A 15,398-nucleotide genomic window follows, 5' to 3' on the forward strand; every position below is an offset into this window, starting at 1 on the left:
GGGCATGGTGGCAGGCACCTGTATTCTTAGCTACTCAGGAGGCTGAGGCAGGAGAATCGCTTGAACCCAGGAGATGGAAATTGCAGTGAGCCAAGATTTTGCCACTGCACTCCAGCCTGAGCAGCAGAGTGAGACTTAGTCTCAAAAAAAAAAGTATGTATATATAATTATATACAAATATTTATTTGAAAACCTTTACAATAGCAAAGTTATTTTTTTAACTTGTTGAAAACTAGTAGGCAGCATTTAAAAGGTTCTGTACAATGAATGAAAAAGATACTGTCATCACTGGGCATTCCAGAGTACTAGGGATAAGATAATATACTACACATCTTCTAGAAAGTAAAAGCAGGTTACACATAAAGGAACAAGGATTAGAATGACCTCAGACTTTCAACAGCAATGTTGAATGCCAGCAAACAATGAAGAAGTGCCTTTATAATCTTAAAAGAATAATTTCAAAAATTATTTGGGCTGGGCACAGTGGCTCGAGCCTGTAATCCCAACACTTTAAAAGGCCGTGGCGGGCAGATCACCTGAGGTCAGGAGTTCAAGACCAACCTGGCCAAAGTGGTGAAACCCTGTGTCTACTAAAAATACAAAAATTAGCTGGGCATGTTGGCAGGCATCTATAATCCCAGCTACTCAGGAGGGTGAGGCAGGAGAATTGCTTAAACCTGGGAGGCAGAGGTTGCAGTGAGCCAAGATCTTTCCACTGCACTCCAGCCTGGGTGACAGAGTGAAACTAAGTCCCCCCGGCTCCCCGCAAAAAAAAAATTATTTGAAATTATTGAGTTGAAAAGAATTTTCTCAAGCCATTAATAATTGAAGGAAGAATAACAACATCGTCGAACTTACTTGATCTCCCATGCGCCTATCAAACTTACTTGATCTCCCACGAATCCTACTGGAGCATATTCTCAAGTAGTTTCATGATAAAGGGTGTATGAGAGATCAACCCTTTATCATGAAACGCTTGAGGATACGCTCCAGAAAGATTAGAAAGCAAAGCGAGAAATAAATAGGGGATCTAACCCAGGAAAGAGATGAAGAAGTTTTCAGAATAATAGCTTCACAAATAGAGATTTTTCATCTGGATAAGAGGAGGAGAGTTCCAGAAAGAAAATCCTCTGGGAAAAAAACAGATTGAATAGAATAGCAATTGTAAATTAAACCATTTGAAATTGATGTTTTGTTGATTAAAAAAAAAATTGCTTGCTGAGCACAGTGGCTCATACCTGTAAGCCCAGCACTTTGGAATTGGCCAAAGTGGACAGGTTCGCTTCGAGATTCTGAGCCCAGGAGTTTGAGACCAGCCTGGGCAATATGGCAAAACCCCATCTCTACAAAAAATACAAAAAAACAATTAGCCAGTGCATGCCTGTAGTCCCAGCTGCTTGGGAGGCTGAGGTCGAAGGATCACTTGAGCCTGGGAGATGGAGGTTGCAGTGAGCTGAGATTGTACCACTGTACTCCAGCCTGGACAACAGAGTGAGATACTGTCTCAAAAATCAAAAAACAAAAGACAATTCTAGTAACATAATTTGCAACATTCATAATAGCTATATTCATAGCATGTTTGCTATTTGCCAAATGTAGTTTTTTTTTTTGTTTTTTTTTGAGATGGAGTCTCGCTCTGTTGCCCAGGCTGGAGTGCAGTGGCACGATCTTGGCTTGCTGCAAGCTCCGCCTCCTGGGTTCACGCCGTTCTCCTGCCTCAGCCTCCCGAGTAGCTGGGACTACAGGTGCCCGCCACCACGCCTGGCTAATTTTTTTGTGTTTTTAGTAGAGATGGGGTTTCACCATGTTAGCCAGGGTGGTCTCGATCTCCTGACCTCGTGATCTGCCCATCTTGGCCTCCCAAAGTGCTGGGATTACAGGCGTGAGCCGCCGCGCCTGGCCTGCCAAATGTAGTTCTATGTCTTGGATCTGTATTGTTTCATTTAATCCTCACAACAATCAGGAGGTAGGTAGTATTATTTTCTCCTTTTTAAGATTGATTAAAAACTGGGACAAGGTGGGCACTGTGGCTCATGCCTGTAATGCCAATACTCTGGGAGGCCGAGGCAGGTGGATCACTTAAGGTCAGGAGATCAAGACCATCCTGGCTAACATGGTGAAACCCCGTCTGTACTAAAAATACAAAAAATAATTAGCCAGGAGTGGTGGCGGGCACCTATAGTCCCAGCTACTCGGGAGGCTGAGGCAGGAGAATGGCATGAACCCAGTAGGCGGAGCTTGCAGTGAGTCGAGATCATGCCACTGCACTCCAGCCTGGGCGACAGGGCGAGACTCTGTCTCAAAAAAAAAAAAAAAAAAATTAGCCAGGTGTGGTGGCACGTGCCTGTAATCCCAGCTACTTGGGAGGCTGAAGCAGGGAGGATTGCTTGAACCTGGAAGGCAGAGGTTGCAGTGAGCTGAGATCGTACCACTGCACCCCAGCCTGGGTGACAGAGCGAGACTCTGTCTCAAAAAAAAAAAAAAAAAGCCAAAGAAAAAACCTGGCACAAAAGGAAGGTTAAGTTAGGGTTAGGTTGCCCAAGGTCATGCCGTTGGAGCTGCAATTTGAAGCCAGGCAGCCTAATATCAGAGCATAGGCTCTTAACTCTTCTGTTATATAGGCGGGAAATTGTAGGATACTTTCTTGTAGAGTCTGACTAATCCAAGCAAAAAGACCTGCGGTACTGACAGGTTACTGAACAGTTATGGCCCCTGTGCACAAGCCCTACCTACCCACTCAGCCTGTCCCATCAGCTCTTTTTGAAGAAACTTTAAAATATATCATGAATATTGGTAGAGAAATAGAGATGATAATCTGTTGGGGAAATGAGTAGAATACCATAAACAGGAGTATTCAGAGGATAGGGCTCTTGGAAATTAAGAGTGTAATGGCAGAAGTGAAAACTAGGCAGATTGGAGGATGAAGTTGAGGCTATCAGGAAATTAGAGCATGAAGGCAGGAGGTGGAAAATACAGAAAAAATGATTAGATGCTTCAGCTCTAAATAATAGACATTTTCAGGCCAGGCACAGTGGTTCATGGGCGGCTGAGGTGGGTGGATCACTTGAGGCCAGGAGTTCGAGACCAGCCTAGCTAACATGGTGAAACCCATCTCTACTAAAAATTCAAAAGTTATCTGGGTGTGGTGGTGCATGCCTGTAGTCCCAGCTACTTGGGAGGCTGAGGCAGGAGAATTGCTTGAACCTGGGAGGTGGAGGTTGCAGTGAGCTGAGATCGTGCCACTGCACTCCAGCCTGGGTGAGAGAGGGAGACTCTGTCTCAAAAAAATAAATAAATAATAGACATTTCAAAAGAACAGATAAAATGGGAGGCAGAAAATCATCAATGAAAGAACTCAAGGACATTTTCTAGAACTGAATGTTACAAGTTTCCAGACTGAAAGGACCTGCTTGCCCTGTGCTCAGCATGATGGATAGAAACAAAGCTGCACTAGAGGACAGCACTGTGAAATTTCAGAACACTGCGGACAAAGAGAAGACCTTACATGCTTCAAGACAGGAAAAAAATGACATTCAAAAGCTCCGGAATTAGAAGTGGCTTTGGATTTCATGCTATTAACATTGGAATCTAGAAGTAATGCCTTTGAAGTTGTGAGAGAAGATGATTTTCAACATAGTCTGGAGATAAACTATATTGGGCAGTTTGGGAGAAGGTAGTCAAAGGGTATGAGGGCTAATCTTTATAGATCATAAAGTCAATGGGCACTGTTATAGTTGGATAAATTAAGAAATGGCATTATAAGCACATAATGTAGAGTTATGGTAGAAACTACCAGAAGAAATAGCTGAAAAAGTTAAAAGTGGTTGGATGGAAGGGATGATGAGTGGAATATGATTGATGGCTGTTGGTTTTCATTAAGGGCCTTTTTTACCCTGTGATGTTCTAGATCTATATATATGAATTAGTTGAATAAGAAATTTTAGGCCAGGCGCAGTGGCTCACGCCTGTAATCCCAGCACTTTGGGAAGCTGAGGCAGGCGGATCACAAGGTCAGGAGATGAAGACCATCTAACATGATGAAACCCCGTCTCTACTAAAAATACAAAAAATTAGGCAGGTGTGGTGGCAGGCACCTGTAATCCCAGCTACTCGGGAGGCTGAGGCAGAAGAATGGTGTGAACCTGGGAGGCGGAGCTTGCAGTGAGCTGAGATCGCGCCAATGCACTCCAGCCTGGGCAACAGAGTGAGACTCCCGTCTCAAAAAAAAAAAAAAGAAATTTTAATAAAAACCTAAAATTGGATGCCTTATGTTACTTCATTAGGGTTATGGAAGGATCAGTGGAATAACTGATATGAAAAAGAGGTTTGTAAATTATATTCTATTATTTAGTGGAAAGTTATGATGTTACTATCATGTTGACTAAAAGGCAAAAATGCTGTATTTGGTAGATGATAATATTGTTGTATTAATTAACTGTGGCCACAATAGTGCAATCACAAAACTTGAGTGACATATGATAATGAACACTAATTTTTTGTTTTTGAGACTAGGGTCAGCTTGTTGGCTTGACGATCTGAGCCAGGTTTGGTTGATCTCACTTGGGTTTGCTTATGTGTCTGAGCAGATGGACTGTAGTTGGCTGGTCGGGGATGGCTATGTTCCCCACATGTGGGGTGGTTGTCTATCAGTGGGAGCATCGGTGCTCTCCCACATGTTCTGGCATCCTCCACACTAACACTTGTGCCACATTCTTTTGCCCAAAGCAAGTCAAAAAATGTGGAGAAGTCACTTCCATCTCTTCATGGTAGAAGTTGCAGATTCACATTGAAAAGGAGGGATGGAGATGTGGAAACATTTTTAGAGTTAGCATAATGATTGAAGCCAATTTTTTTTTTCTTTTTGAGATGGAGTCTCTCTCTGTCGCCAGGCTGGAGTGCAGTGGCACAGTCTCGGCTCACTGCAACCTCCGCCTCCTGGGTTCAAGTGATTCTCCTGCCTCAGCCTCCCAAGTAGCTGGGATTACAGGTGCCTGTCACCACACCCAGCTAATTTTTGTATTTTTTGTAAAGACGAGGTTTTACCATGTTGGCCAGGATGGTCTTGATCTCTTGACCTCATGATCCACCCGCCCCAGCCTCCCAAAGTGCTGGGATTACATGTGTGAGCCACCACGCCCAGCCAAAGCCAAATACTTTTAATCCATCTATTGGGAATGAGAATGTGGAAGGACATCAAAAGACCTATAACTGGGCTGGGCGTGGTGACTCATGCTTGTAATCCCAGCACTTTGAGAGACTGAGGTGGAAGGGTTGCTTGAGACCAGTAGTCTGAGAGCAGCCTGGGCAACATAGCAAGACCCCCATCTCTACAAAAATTAGTCTTTAAAATAATTAGCCAGCCTATTGGTATGTGCCTGTGTTCCCAGCTACTTGAGAGGCTGAGGTGGGAGCATCACTTGAGCCCAGAAGTTTGAGGGTGCAGTCAGCTGTGGTTGCATCACTACACTCTAGCCAGGGTGGCAGAGCAAGACCTTATCTTAGGGAAAAAAAAATGCATAACTGAATTTATTTTCTTTTTCCTTTGTAGACAACAAGGGAGGTGTCACAGTTTTCCATTTAGATCAACAACTTCAAGTTCTTACCATGGAAAATTCCGAGAAGACTGAAGTGGTTCTCCTTGCTTGTGGTTCATTCAATCCCATCACCAACATGCACCTCAGGTTGTTTGAGCTGGCCAAGGACTACATGAATGGAACAGGTAGGAGCAGTAACCAAAAGTGGCTTAAGACTAGAGAACCAGCCGGGTGCAGTGGCTCACACCTGCAATCCCAGCATTTTGGGAGGCTGAGACGGGCAGATCACAAGGTCAAGAGATCGAGACCATCCTAGCCAACATGGTAAAACCCTGTCTCTACTAAAAAATACGAAAATTCACTGTGCCTGTAGTCCTAGCTACTCGGGAGGCTGAGGCAGTAGAATCGCTTGAACCCGGGAGGCGGAGGTTGCAGTGAGCTGAGATTGCTGCACTGCACTCCAGCCTGGAGACAGAGCAAGACACCATCTCAAAAAAAAAAAAAAATACTAGAGAACCGGCATGACTGGGTCTGTTTCAGAATACACATTTCATTGACTGGGCACAAACATGCTGTCCTGCTCCCTTGTACAGTGAATTCTTAGCCAAAAAAGAGGGTGAAGTATGAGGGAAGAATTGAGCATCTGGCTATGGCCTGTAGAATAGAAAATACAGCCAGGTACAGTGGCTCACACCTGTAATCCCAGTGCTTTGGGAGGCCGAGGTGGGAGGATCACTTGAGGCCAGGAGTTTGAGACCAACCTGGGAAACAGAGAGAGACCTCATCTCTACAAAAAAAATTGTAAACATTAGCCAGGTATGGTGGCATGTGCCTGTGGTCCCAGCTACTCAGGAGACTGAAGTAGGAGGATTGCTTGAGCCCGGGAGGTCTAGGCTACCGTGAGCCATGATTGCACCTTTGCCCACCAGCCTGGACATCAGAGCAAGACCCTGACCACCCCTCCCCAAAAAAAGGAATTTGATTCTGTCATGCCTGTGCTTAATCTTCTTTAGGAGTTTCCCATTACTTAAGGCAAAAAGCGAAAGCTTGTACTTTAGCATACATAAAACCTCTAGGATCAGGCACAGCTTTTTAAAAGTTTTCTTTTTTCTTTCTTTCTTTCTTTTTTTTGAGATGGACTTCACTCTTGTTGCCCAGGCTGGAGTGCAGTGGCGCGATCTCGGCTCACTGCAACCTCCACCTCCTGGGTTCAAGCAATTCTCCTGCCTCACCCTCCTGAGTAGCTGGGATTACAGGAATGTGCCACCACGCCCGGCTAATTTTTTATATTTTTAGTAGCGACGGGGTTTCTCCATGTTGGTCAGGCTGGTCTCAAACTCCCAACCTCAGGCTTCCCAAAGTGCTGGGATCACAGGCATGAGCTACCATACCCAGCTAAAAGTTTTCATAAACAATGCATGAGGCTGGGCGTGGTGGCTTACTCCTGGAATCCCAGCACTTTGGGAGGCCAAGGCAGGCAGATCACAAGGTCAGGAGATTGAGACCATCCTGGCTAACACGGTGAAACCCCATCTCTACTAAAAATACAAAAAAATTAGCCGGGCATGGTGGCGGGTGCCTGTAGTCCCAGCTACTTGGGAGGCTGAGGCAGGAGGATGGCGTGAACCTGGGAGGCGGAGCTTGCAGTGAGCCAAGATGTCGCCACTGCACTCCAGCCTGGGTGACAGAGCGAGACTCCATCTCAAAAAAAAAAAAAAAAAAAAAAAAATGCATGAATAGGCTGGGCGTGGTGGCACATACCTGTAATCCCAGCACTTCGAGAGGCAGAAGGGGCAGATTACCTGAGGTCAGGAGTTTGAGATCAGCCTGGCCAATGTGGCGAAACCTTGACTCTACAGAGTCTCGCTCTGTCGCCCAGGCTGGAGTGCAGTGGCACAGTCTTGGCTCACTGCAACCTCCACCTCCTGGATTCAAGCGATTCTTTTGCCTCAGCCTCCCCTGTAACTGGGATTACAGGCACACAGCACCATGCCCGGCCCATTTTTGTATTTTTAGTAGAAATGGGGTTTCACCATGTTGACCAGGCTGCTCTTGAACTCCTGTTCTCAAGTGATCCTCCCACGTCGGCCTCCCAAAGTGCTGGAATTACAGGCATGAGCCACCATAACATAGCATAACCATAACAGTTTCATGTGTATCCTTCCACTCTTCTTTGTATGAATTTATATGCAAACATTTGTGTGTATACACAGATTTTTTTTTTTTTTTGTGGAAATGGTTCTCACTCTGTCACCCTGGCTGGGCAGGCTGGAGTACAGTGGCATGATCACAGCTCACTGCAGCCTTTACCTCCCGGACTCAAGTGAGCTGCCTGCCTCAGGCTCCTGAGTAGCTGTGACTACAGGCATGCCACCACATCTGGCTAATTTTTTTTTTTTTTTGGAGACAGAGTCTTGCTCTGTCGCTCAGGCTGGAGTGCAGTGGCATGATCTCAGCTCACTGCAAACTCCGCCTCCCAGGCTCACACCATTCTCCTGCCTCAGCCTCCGGAGTAGCTGGGATTACAGGTGCCCGCCACCATGCCTGGCTAATTTTTTGTATTTTTAGTAGAGACAGGGTTTCACCGTGTTAGCCAGGATGGTCTTGATCTCCTGACCTCGTGATCCACCCGCCTCGAACTCCCAAAGTGCTGGGATTACAGGAGTGAGCCACCGCGCCTGGCCTAATTTTTTAATTTTTTGTAGAAACTGGGTCCCACTGTTTTGCCCATGTTGGTGTTGAGCTCCTGGGCTCAAGTGATTCTCCTGCCTTGGTCTCCCAAAACACTGGGATAACAGGTGTGAGCCACCACACCTGGCCTCGATTTTTTTGTTACATAAATGATCATATAATATGCTGATAGGTAGATGGATGGATGGATGCTAAAGCTCACTATTTGCCTATGACATTGAGAAATGGGCTTTTGCATACATCTAGGTGGACAATACAAATTAAGGCTTTTTACAAAGTAATTTGGCAATATCAATAGAAATTTAACTGTATAGGGGAATGAGGTGAAGTACAGAGTGTCAGTTGGGGAAGATGAGAAAATTCTGGAGATAGATAGGAGCGATGGTTGCACAACAGCATGTTTGCAGTTAATATCATAGAACTGTACGCTTGGGTATATTTTACCATAATTTCAGTCAGTTAATTGATCAGCTAATAAGCTGGAATCCCTAAAGAAAGAGAATCTGTGATTATAAAACAATATTGGCCAGGTGTGGTGACTCATGCCTGTAGTCCCAGCACTTTGGGAGGCTGAGGCAGGCAGATCACTTGAGGTCAGGAGTTGGAGACCAGCTTGGCTAACATGGTAAAAACCCCATCTCTACTAAAAATACAAAAATTAACCAGCATGGTGGCATGCGCCCGTAATCCCAGCTACTCAGGAGTCTGACTCAGGAGAATTGCTTCAACCCAGGAGGCGGAGGTTGCAGTGAGCCGAGATCACTCCAGTGCGGCCTGGGGAACAGAGCAAGACTCTGTCTCAAAAAACAAAACAAAACAAATAATATTGATCGTAATATTTCCTGTGCATAAAGTCTAATTTGTTATACCTAGTGTGAAACCTAACTTTTTATCTAGGAAGGTACACAGTTGTCAAAGGCATCATCTCTCCTGTTGGTGATGCCTACAAGAAGAAAGGACTCATTCCTGCCTATCACCGGGTCATCATGGCAGAACTTGCTACCAAGAATTCTAAATGGGTGGAAGTTGATACATGGGAAAGTCTTCAGAAGGAGTGGAAAGAGACTCTGAAGGTGCTAAGGTATTTATGGTGTAATCAACTTTGTCAGTTCTGTGTAAATGGCTAAGCGGCTTATGTTTTTACCATGTTTCAATGTTGCTTACATCTGTGAACATACAGATTTGCAAAACTGTCACGTGTGTTGTAAGCCATTCCTGTGGAAGGTTACTACAAGACTGTAGAGCACAGCACCAAAGGATGGGTCTTCCTTAGCCCCTCTGTGTCTTTCATTATGTTTTAAGTTGTTTGCGGCCAGGCGCGGTGGCTCACGCCTGTAATGCCAGCACTTTGGGAGGCTGAGGCGGGTGGATCAGCTGAGGTCAGGAGTTCGAGACCAGCCTGGCCAACATGGTGAAAACCCGTCTCTACTAAAAATACAAAAATTAGCCGGGCATGGTGGCGCATGCCTGTAATCCCAGCTACTTGGGAGGCTGAGGCAGGAGATACACTTGAACCCCGGGGATGGAGGTTACAGTGAGCCAAGATTGTGCCACTGCACTCCAGCCTGGGTGACAGAGCGAGACTCCATCTCAAAAAAAAAAAAAAAAAAAGATGTTTGCTTGCTTGCTACTATGTGATACCACTGTTAGAAAATAGAGGAAGCCTGCCTGGGCTTTCTGTGCCCCAAATGAGAAAGGGAAAATTGCAAGAAGATGTTATTATCATCAGTCTTCCTAAGTATAAAAGAGACAGGCAGATAATTTAAGGAAGAGAAGCATCCAGTGCTGCTTGATCATGGACAGGCCTGATTCGTGTGCTGCTTCCATGACAGCATCTGGGCAGGGAGTCACAGATCTCTGTGCCCATACCTTTGAAGCAGTTCTAGTTAAGGGTTCAAAAACCAGAGTAAGTGACATCTAATTATTTCTCTTTTTTTTTTTTCTTTTTGAGACGGAGTCTCGCTCTGTCACCCAGGCTGGAGTGCAGTGGTGCATTCTCGGCTCACTGCGACCTCTGCCTCCTGGGTTCAAGCAATTCTCCTGCCTCAGCCTCCCAAGTAGCTGGGACTACAGGTGACTGCCACCACGCCCCGCTAATGTTTTTGTATTTTTAGTAGAGATGGGGTTCTACCTTGTTGGCCAGGCTGGTCTTGAACTTCTGACCTCAGGTGATCCACCTGTCTCAGCCTCCCAACACCTAATTATTTCTTTTCTTTTCTTTTTTTTTTTGAGATAGAGGTTCACTCTTGTTGCCCAAGCTGGAGTGCAATGGCATGATCTTGGCTCACTGCAACCTCTGCCTCCCGGGTTCAAGCCGTTCCCCTGCCTCAGCCTCCCAAGTAGCTGGGATTACAGGCGCCTGCCACCACGCCCGGCTAATTTTTGTATTTTTAGTAGAGCTGGGGTTTCACCCTGTTGGCCAGGCTGGTCTTGAACTCCTGACCTCAGGTGATCTGCCCATCTCGGGCCTCCCAAAGTGCGGGGATTACAGAGGTGAGCCACCGCACCTGGCTGACACCTAATTATCTCTTAATGTTATTTTGATTTTTTTAAACTTTATTTTCTTTTTTTTGTTGGAGATGGGGCCTCGCTATGTTGCCTATGCTGACTGATCTCAAACTCCTGGCCTCAAGCAATCCTCCCACCTAGGCCTCCCAAAGTGCTGGGATTACAAATGTGAGCTACCATGCCTGGCCTGTTGTTATCTTGAGTTTAAAATGAAAGGGCTTTCTGAAAAGCCTTTCTGTTTAGTATCTGTTCTTAGAGTTCTGAACTTTCCAGTGACTGACTGTATCATTTAGGGTTCAGACTAGGAAATAGAAACCCACTCTGGATATTTTAAGTGGAAAGAGATTTAAGTACTTAGGCAAAAAGTACTTAAAAGAGCTGAGGCCGGGCGTGGTAGCTCATGACTATAATCCCAGCACTTTGGGAGGCTGAGGCCGGCAGATCACCTGAGTCCAGTAGTTCAAGACAAGCCTGGCCAACATGGTGAAACCCTGTCTCTACTAAAAATACAAAATTAGCTGGGCCCATACCTGTAATCCCAGCTACTAGGGAGGCTGAGGCAGGAGAATTGCCTGAGCCTGGGAGGCAGAGGTTACGGTGAACTGAAATTGTGCCACTGCACTCCAGCCTGGGCAGCAGAATGAGACTGTCTCAAAAAACAACAACAAAAAAAAGTAAAAGGGCTGGAGAAGTGGAAGTCAGGGTCACTCCTCCGATGTTGCCGTCAGAGTTCAACAAACCAATTCCGCTTCTGCTGCTATTGAACTGTCTCAGTCTCCTGAAGTTGGTGACGGACAGTGGACTCCAGCGTCTAGCCACCACACCCACACTAGAAAGGATTACTGGCTATAAATAGCGCAATAATAGGATCAGGCCGGGCATGGTGGCTCACACCTGTAATCCCAGCACTTTGGGAGGCCGAGGTGGGTGGATCACCTGAGGTCAGGAGATCGAGACCACCCTGGCCAACATGGCAAACCCCGTCTCTACTAAAAATACAAAAATTAGCCAGGCGTGGTGGCACATGCCTATAGTCCCAGCTACTTGGGAGGCTGAGGTGGGAGAATCCCTTGAACCCGGGAGGTGGAGGTTGCAGTGAGCCGAGATTGCGCCACTGCACTCCAGCCTGGGTGACAGAGTGAGACTCCGTCTCAAAAAAAAAGATTACTTGTCAGGCTCCACAGTCCCAGGATGATGGCCTCTGTCCTCCTTCTGCCTTCCAAATCTCTCAGGAGAGAATCTCATTAGCAGAAATCGCAGTCAAGTCCACAGCCTGCTGCAAGGACCTCTGGGAAGTGTGTTGGGCAGGATTGGGCACTGAGTCAGTAGGAAGTATCTCACACAGTGATCTCTCAAGAGGACTTCCTTTTCAGACTTGGCAGGGAGAAGAGTCTCCACTGCTTGATGGCAAAAAATTCTCCCATGAGGGAGCAAGTTCCTGGGCCACAGCCCTACCCGACCCTCTGGCTTTATAGTAACCTTATTGCCCATTAAATAGTCAACTCAGCTGCTCAGAAGGGTTGGGATGTAGGGGAATAAAGGCCCACAGTTGGATCCCACAAGTGTAGTTGATGTTATTTGGGTAACATTGCACAGTTTGAAAACAGTGGGCACCCTGCTGCCAGCCCAGAATAGAGCTATACACAAATCCTGCTTAGGGCCCCTTCCTTTAAGGCCTCAGGCCCTTGCCGCTCTAGGACCTTCTCCTTGGCGTTCTGGTTCTTTGTCACAAGATTAAGCCACACTCTTCCATGGTCAAGAGTGTGGGCTCTGGACCAGACTGCTGGGGTTCAAGTCCTGGCTCTGCTATTAATACTTTTAAGTTAAATGACCTTAGGCAAATTAGTCAGTGTCCTCTGTCAATGGGGTAATAAACAATTCTGATATGAGAGATGAGCAGCACATTAAAACCAGAAGTATTTTCAGTGAAACTAGCTGCAAGGTGGCAGTAATATAGTCGCTTTGTAATAACCAAAATGTTCAGGCTGATCATGGTGGCTCACATCTATAGTCCCAGCACTTTGGGAGTCTGAGGCAGGAGGATTGCTTGAGGCCAGGAGTTCAAGACCAGTGTGGGCAACATAGTGAGACCTCATCTCTCCAAAAAACTAAAGTTAGCTGAACATGGTGGCACGTGCCTGTAGTCGCAGCTATCTGGGAGGCTGAGGCGGTAGGATCACTTGAGCCCAGGAGTTTTGGTTGCAGCGAGCTATGATTGTGCCACTGTGCTCCATCCTGGGCAATAGAGTGAGCCTGTGTCTCTGAAAAACAAACCAAAAAAACCCCAAAACATTCACTCAATCAAATTGTTATTGAGGCTGGGCGCAGTGGCTCACGCCTGTAATCCCAGCACTTTGGGAGGCCTAGGCGGGCAGATCACAAGGTCAGGAGATCGAGACCATCCTGGCTAACATGGTGAAACCCTGTCTCTACTAAAAATACAGAAAAAATTAGCCGGGCGTGGTGGTGGGCGCCTGTAGTCCCAGCTACTCGGGAGGCTGAAGCAGGAGAATGGCGTGAACCTAGGAGACGGAGGTTGCAGTGAGCTGAGATCGTGCCACTGCACTCCAGCCTGGGCGACAGAGTGAGACTCCATCTCAAAAAAAAAAAAAAAAATTGTTATTGAATGCCTCCTCATAGACTCTGCTAGGAGCTGGAGTAGCAACTGTAAGCCTCCTTTCTCCTTCCCTTACGGAGATAATAATATTTATGATATAGGATGTTGAGAAGATTTTTTTTTTCTTTTGAGGCGGAGTTTTGCTCTTGTTGCCCAGGCTGGAGTGCAATAGCGCAATCATGGCTCACTGCAACCTCCACCTCCTGGGTTCAAGCGATTCTCCTGCCTCAGCCTCCCGAGTAGCTGGGATTATAGGCATGTGCCACCACACCCGGCTAATTTTCTATTTTTAGCAGAGACAGGGTTTCTCCATGTTGGTCAGGCTGTGTCTCGAACTCCTGACCTCAGGTGATCCACCCGCCTTGGCCTCCCAAAGTGCTGGGATTACAGGTGTGAGCCACCACGCCCAGTCGAGAAGATTTTTAATTTTTTTTAGTCTTCCACAACAGTCATCTTATGTTGAGAAGACTTAATCAGATAATCCATGTAAAGGATTCAGTGTAATGTGTGGCATATGATAAATAATGTTGGCCAGGCACCTATAATCCCAGCACTTTGGGAGGCTGAGGCGGGCAGATCGCTTGAGGTCAGAAGTTCAAGACCAGCCTGGCCAACATGATGAAACCCCGTCACTACTAAAAATACAAAAAAAAATTGGCTGAGCGTGGTGGTGCGCCCCTGTAATCCCAGCTGCTCGGGAGGCTGAGGCAAGAGAATTGTTTGAACCCAGGAGCCAGAGGTTACAGTGAGCTGAGATCACACACTGCACTCAGCCTGGGCGTCAGAGCAAGACACCATCTCAAAATAATAAATAAATAAATAATGTTAATGATATTCTTTTTTTTTTCTTTTTTTGAGATGGAGTCTCACTCTGTCGCCCAGGTTGGAGTGCAGTGGTGCGGTCTTGGCTCACTGCAACCTCTGCCTCCCAGGTTCAAGTGATTCTCCTGCCTCAGCCTCCCGAGTAGCTGGGATTACAGGTGCCCGCCACCACACCCGGCTAATTTTTTGTATTTTTAGTAGAGACGGGGTTTCACCGTGTTAGCCAGGATGGTCTCGATCTTCTGACCTCGTGATCCGCCCACCTCGGCCTCCCAAAGTGCTGGGATTACAGGTGTGAGCCACTGTGCCCAGCTATAAATAATGTTAATGATATATTCTAATGGAGCATGTGAGAAAGAGAAATATTCTATTGTTTTGTTGTTTTATAGACACCATCAAGAGAAATTGGAGGCTAGTGACTGTGATCACCAGCAGAACTCACCTACTCTAGAAAGGCCTGGAAGGAAGAGGAAGTGGACTGAAACACAAGATTCTAGTCAAAAGAAATCCCTAGAGCCAAAAACAAAAGGTTTGTATGTTTTAGCAGGACCCACGGACTAGAGTTGATAAGATTCTGTAGCTGAGCAAACCCCTGTGTATTTTTTTTTTTTTAGATGGAGTCTCGCTCTATCACCCAGGCTGGAGTGCAGTGGCATGATCTCAGCTCACTGCAAGCTCTGCCTCCTGGGTTCATGCCATTCTCCTGCCTCAGCCTCCTGAGCAGCTGGGACTACAGGTGCCTGCCACCACGCCTGTCTAATTTGTTTGTATTTTTAGTAGAGACGGGGTTGCACCATGTTAGCCAGGATGGTCTTGATCTCCTGACCTCATGATCCGCCCACCTCGGCCTCCCAAAGTGCTGGGATTACAGGCGTGAGCCACAGCGCCTGGGCCTTATTTTTTTTGTTTTATAGAGATGGGGTCTCACTATTTTGGCCAGGTTGGTCTTGAACTCCTGGCCCCAAGCAGTCCTCCTGCCTTGGCCTCCCAAAGTGTTAGGATTACAGGTGTCAGCCACTATGCCTGGCCTTTATTTTCATTTTATATTGCATACTTGTGGGTGTCTGGAAAATGCCCCTTGTTAGTTGCATGAAGTGAAGGAGAATAAAAGGCACTTGGAGCTTATTTCTCCTGCAGTGGTCTCTAATCTTTGAGGTGTCCTGGGTCTCTTTTGGGAATCTGATTCTCATAAAATAAAAGCTCATAAAAACTGTGAACTGTCATTC

The 15,398-nt window shown here is 46.3% G+C and overlaps 1 protein-coding gene and 1 non-coding gene across 11 annotated transcripts in view; both read left to right on the plus strand.

Moving 5' to 3' along the window:
• Positions 1–15,398, plus strand: part of NMNAT1 (nicotinamide nucleotide adenylyltransferase 1) — a 53,970-nt gene that overhangs the window by 23,547 nt on the left and 15,025 nt on the right. For 6 of the 10 annotated variants that reach the window (NM_001297778.1, XM_017002108.3, XM_017002107.3 and 3 more), the window contains exons 2-4: positions 5,549–5,719; positions 9,123–9,306; positions 14,562–14,701. In NM_001297778.1, the coding sequence (NP_001284707.1) occupies positions 5,605–5,719; positions 9,123–9,306; positions 14,562–14,701 (439 nt within the window). In that variant the 5' untranslated portion in view covers positions 5,549–5,604. Of the gene's footprint in view, positions 1–5,548; positions 5,720–9,122; positions 9,307–14,561; positions 14,702–14,786; positions 15,298–15,398 lie in introns of those variants that run through there. The other 4 variants (XM_047428077.1, XM_047428082.1, NM_001297779.2 and 1 more) reach the window with 1 other exon arrangement.
• Positions 912–989, plus strand: MIR5697 (microRNA 5697). Its single transcript, NR_049882.1, has one exon. It is a non-coding gene; the product is annotated as a microRNA 5697 (primary transcript).

Source organism: Homo sapiens, chromosome 1, assembly GCF_000001405.40.
Source record: "Homo sapiens chromosome 1, GRCh38.p14 Primary Assembly".
Lineage (NCBI taxonomy): Eukaryota > Metazoa > Chordata > Mammalia > Primates > Hominidae > Homo > Homo sapiens.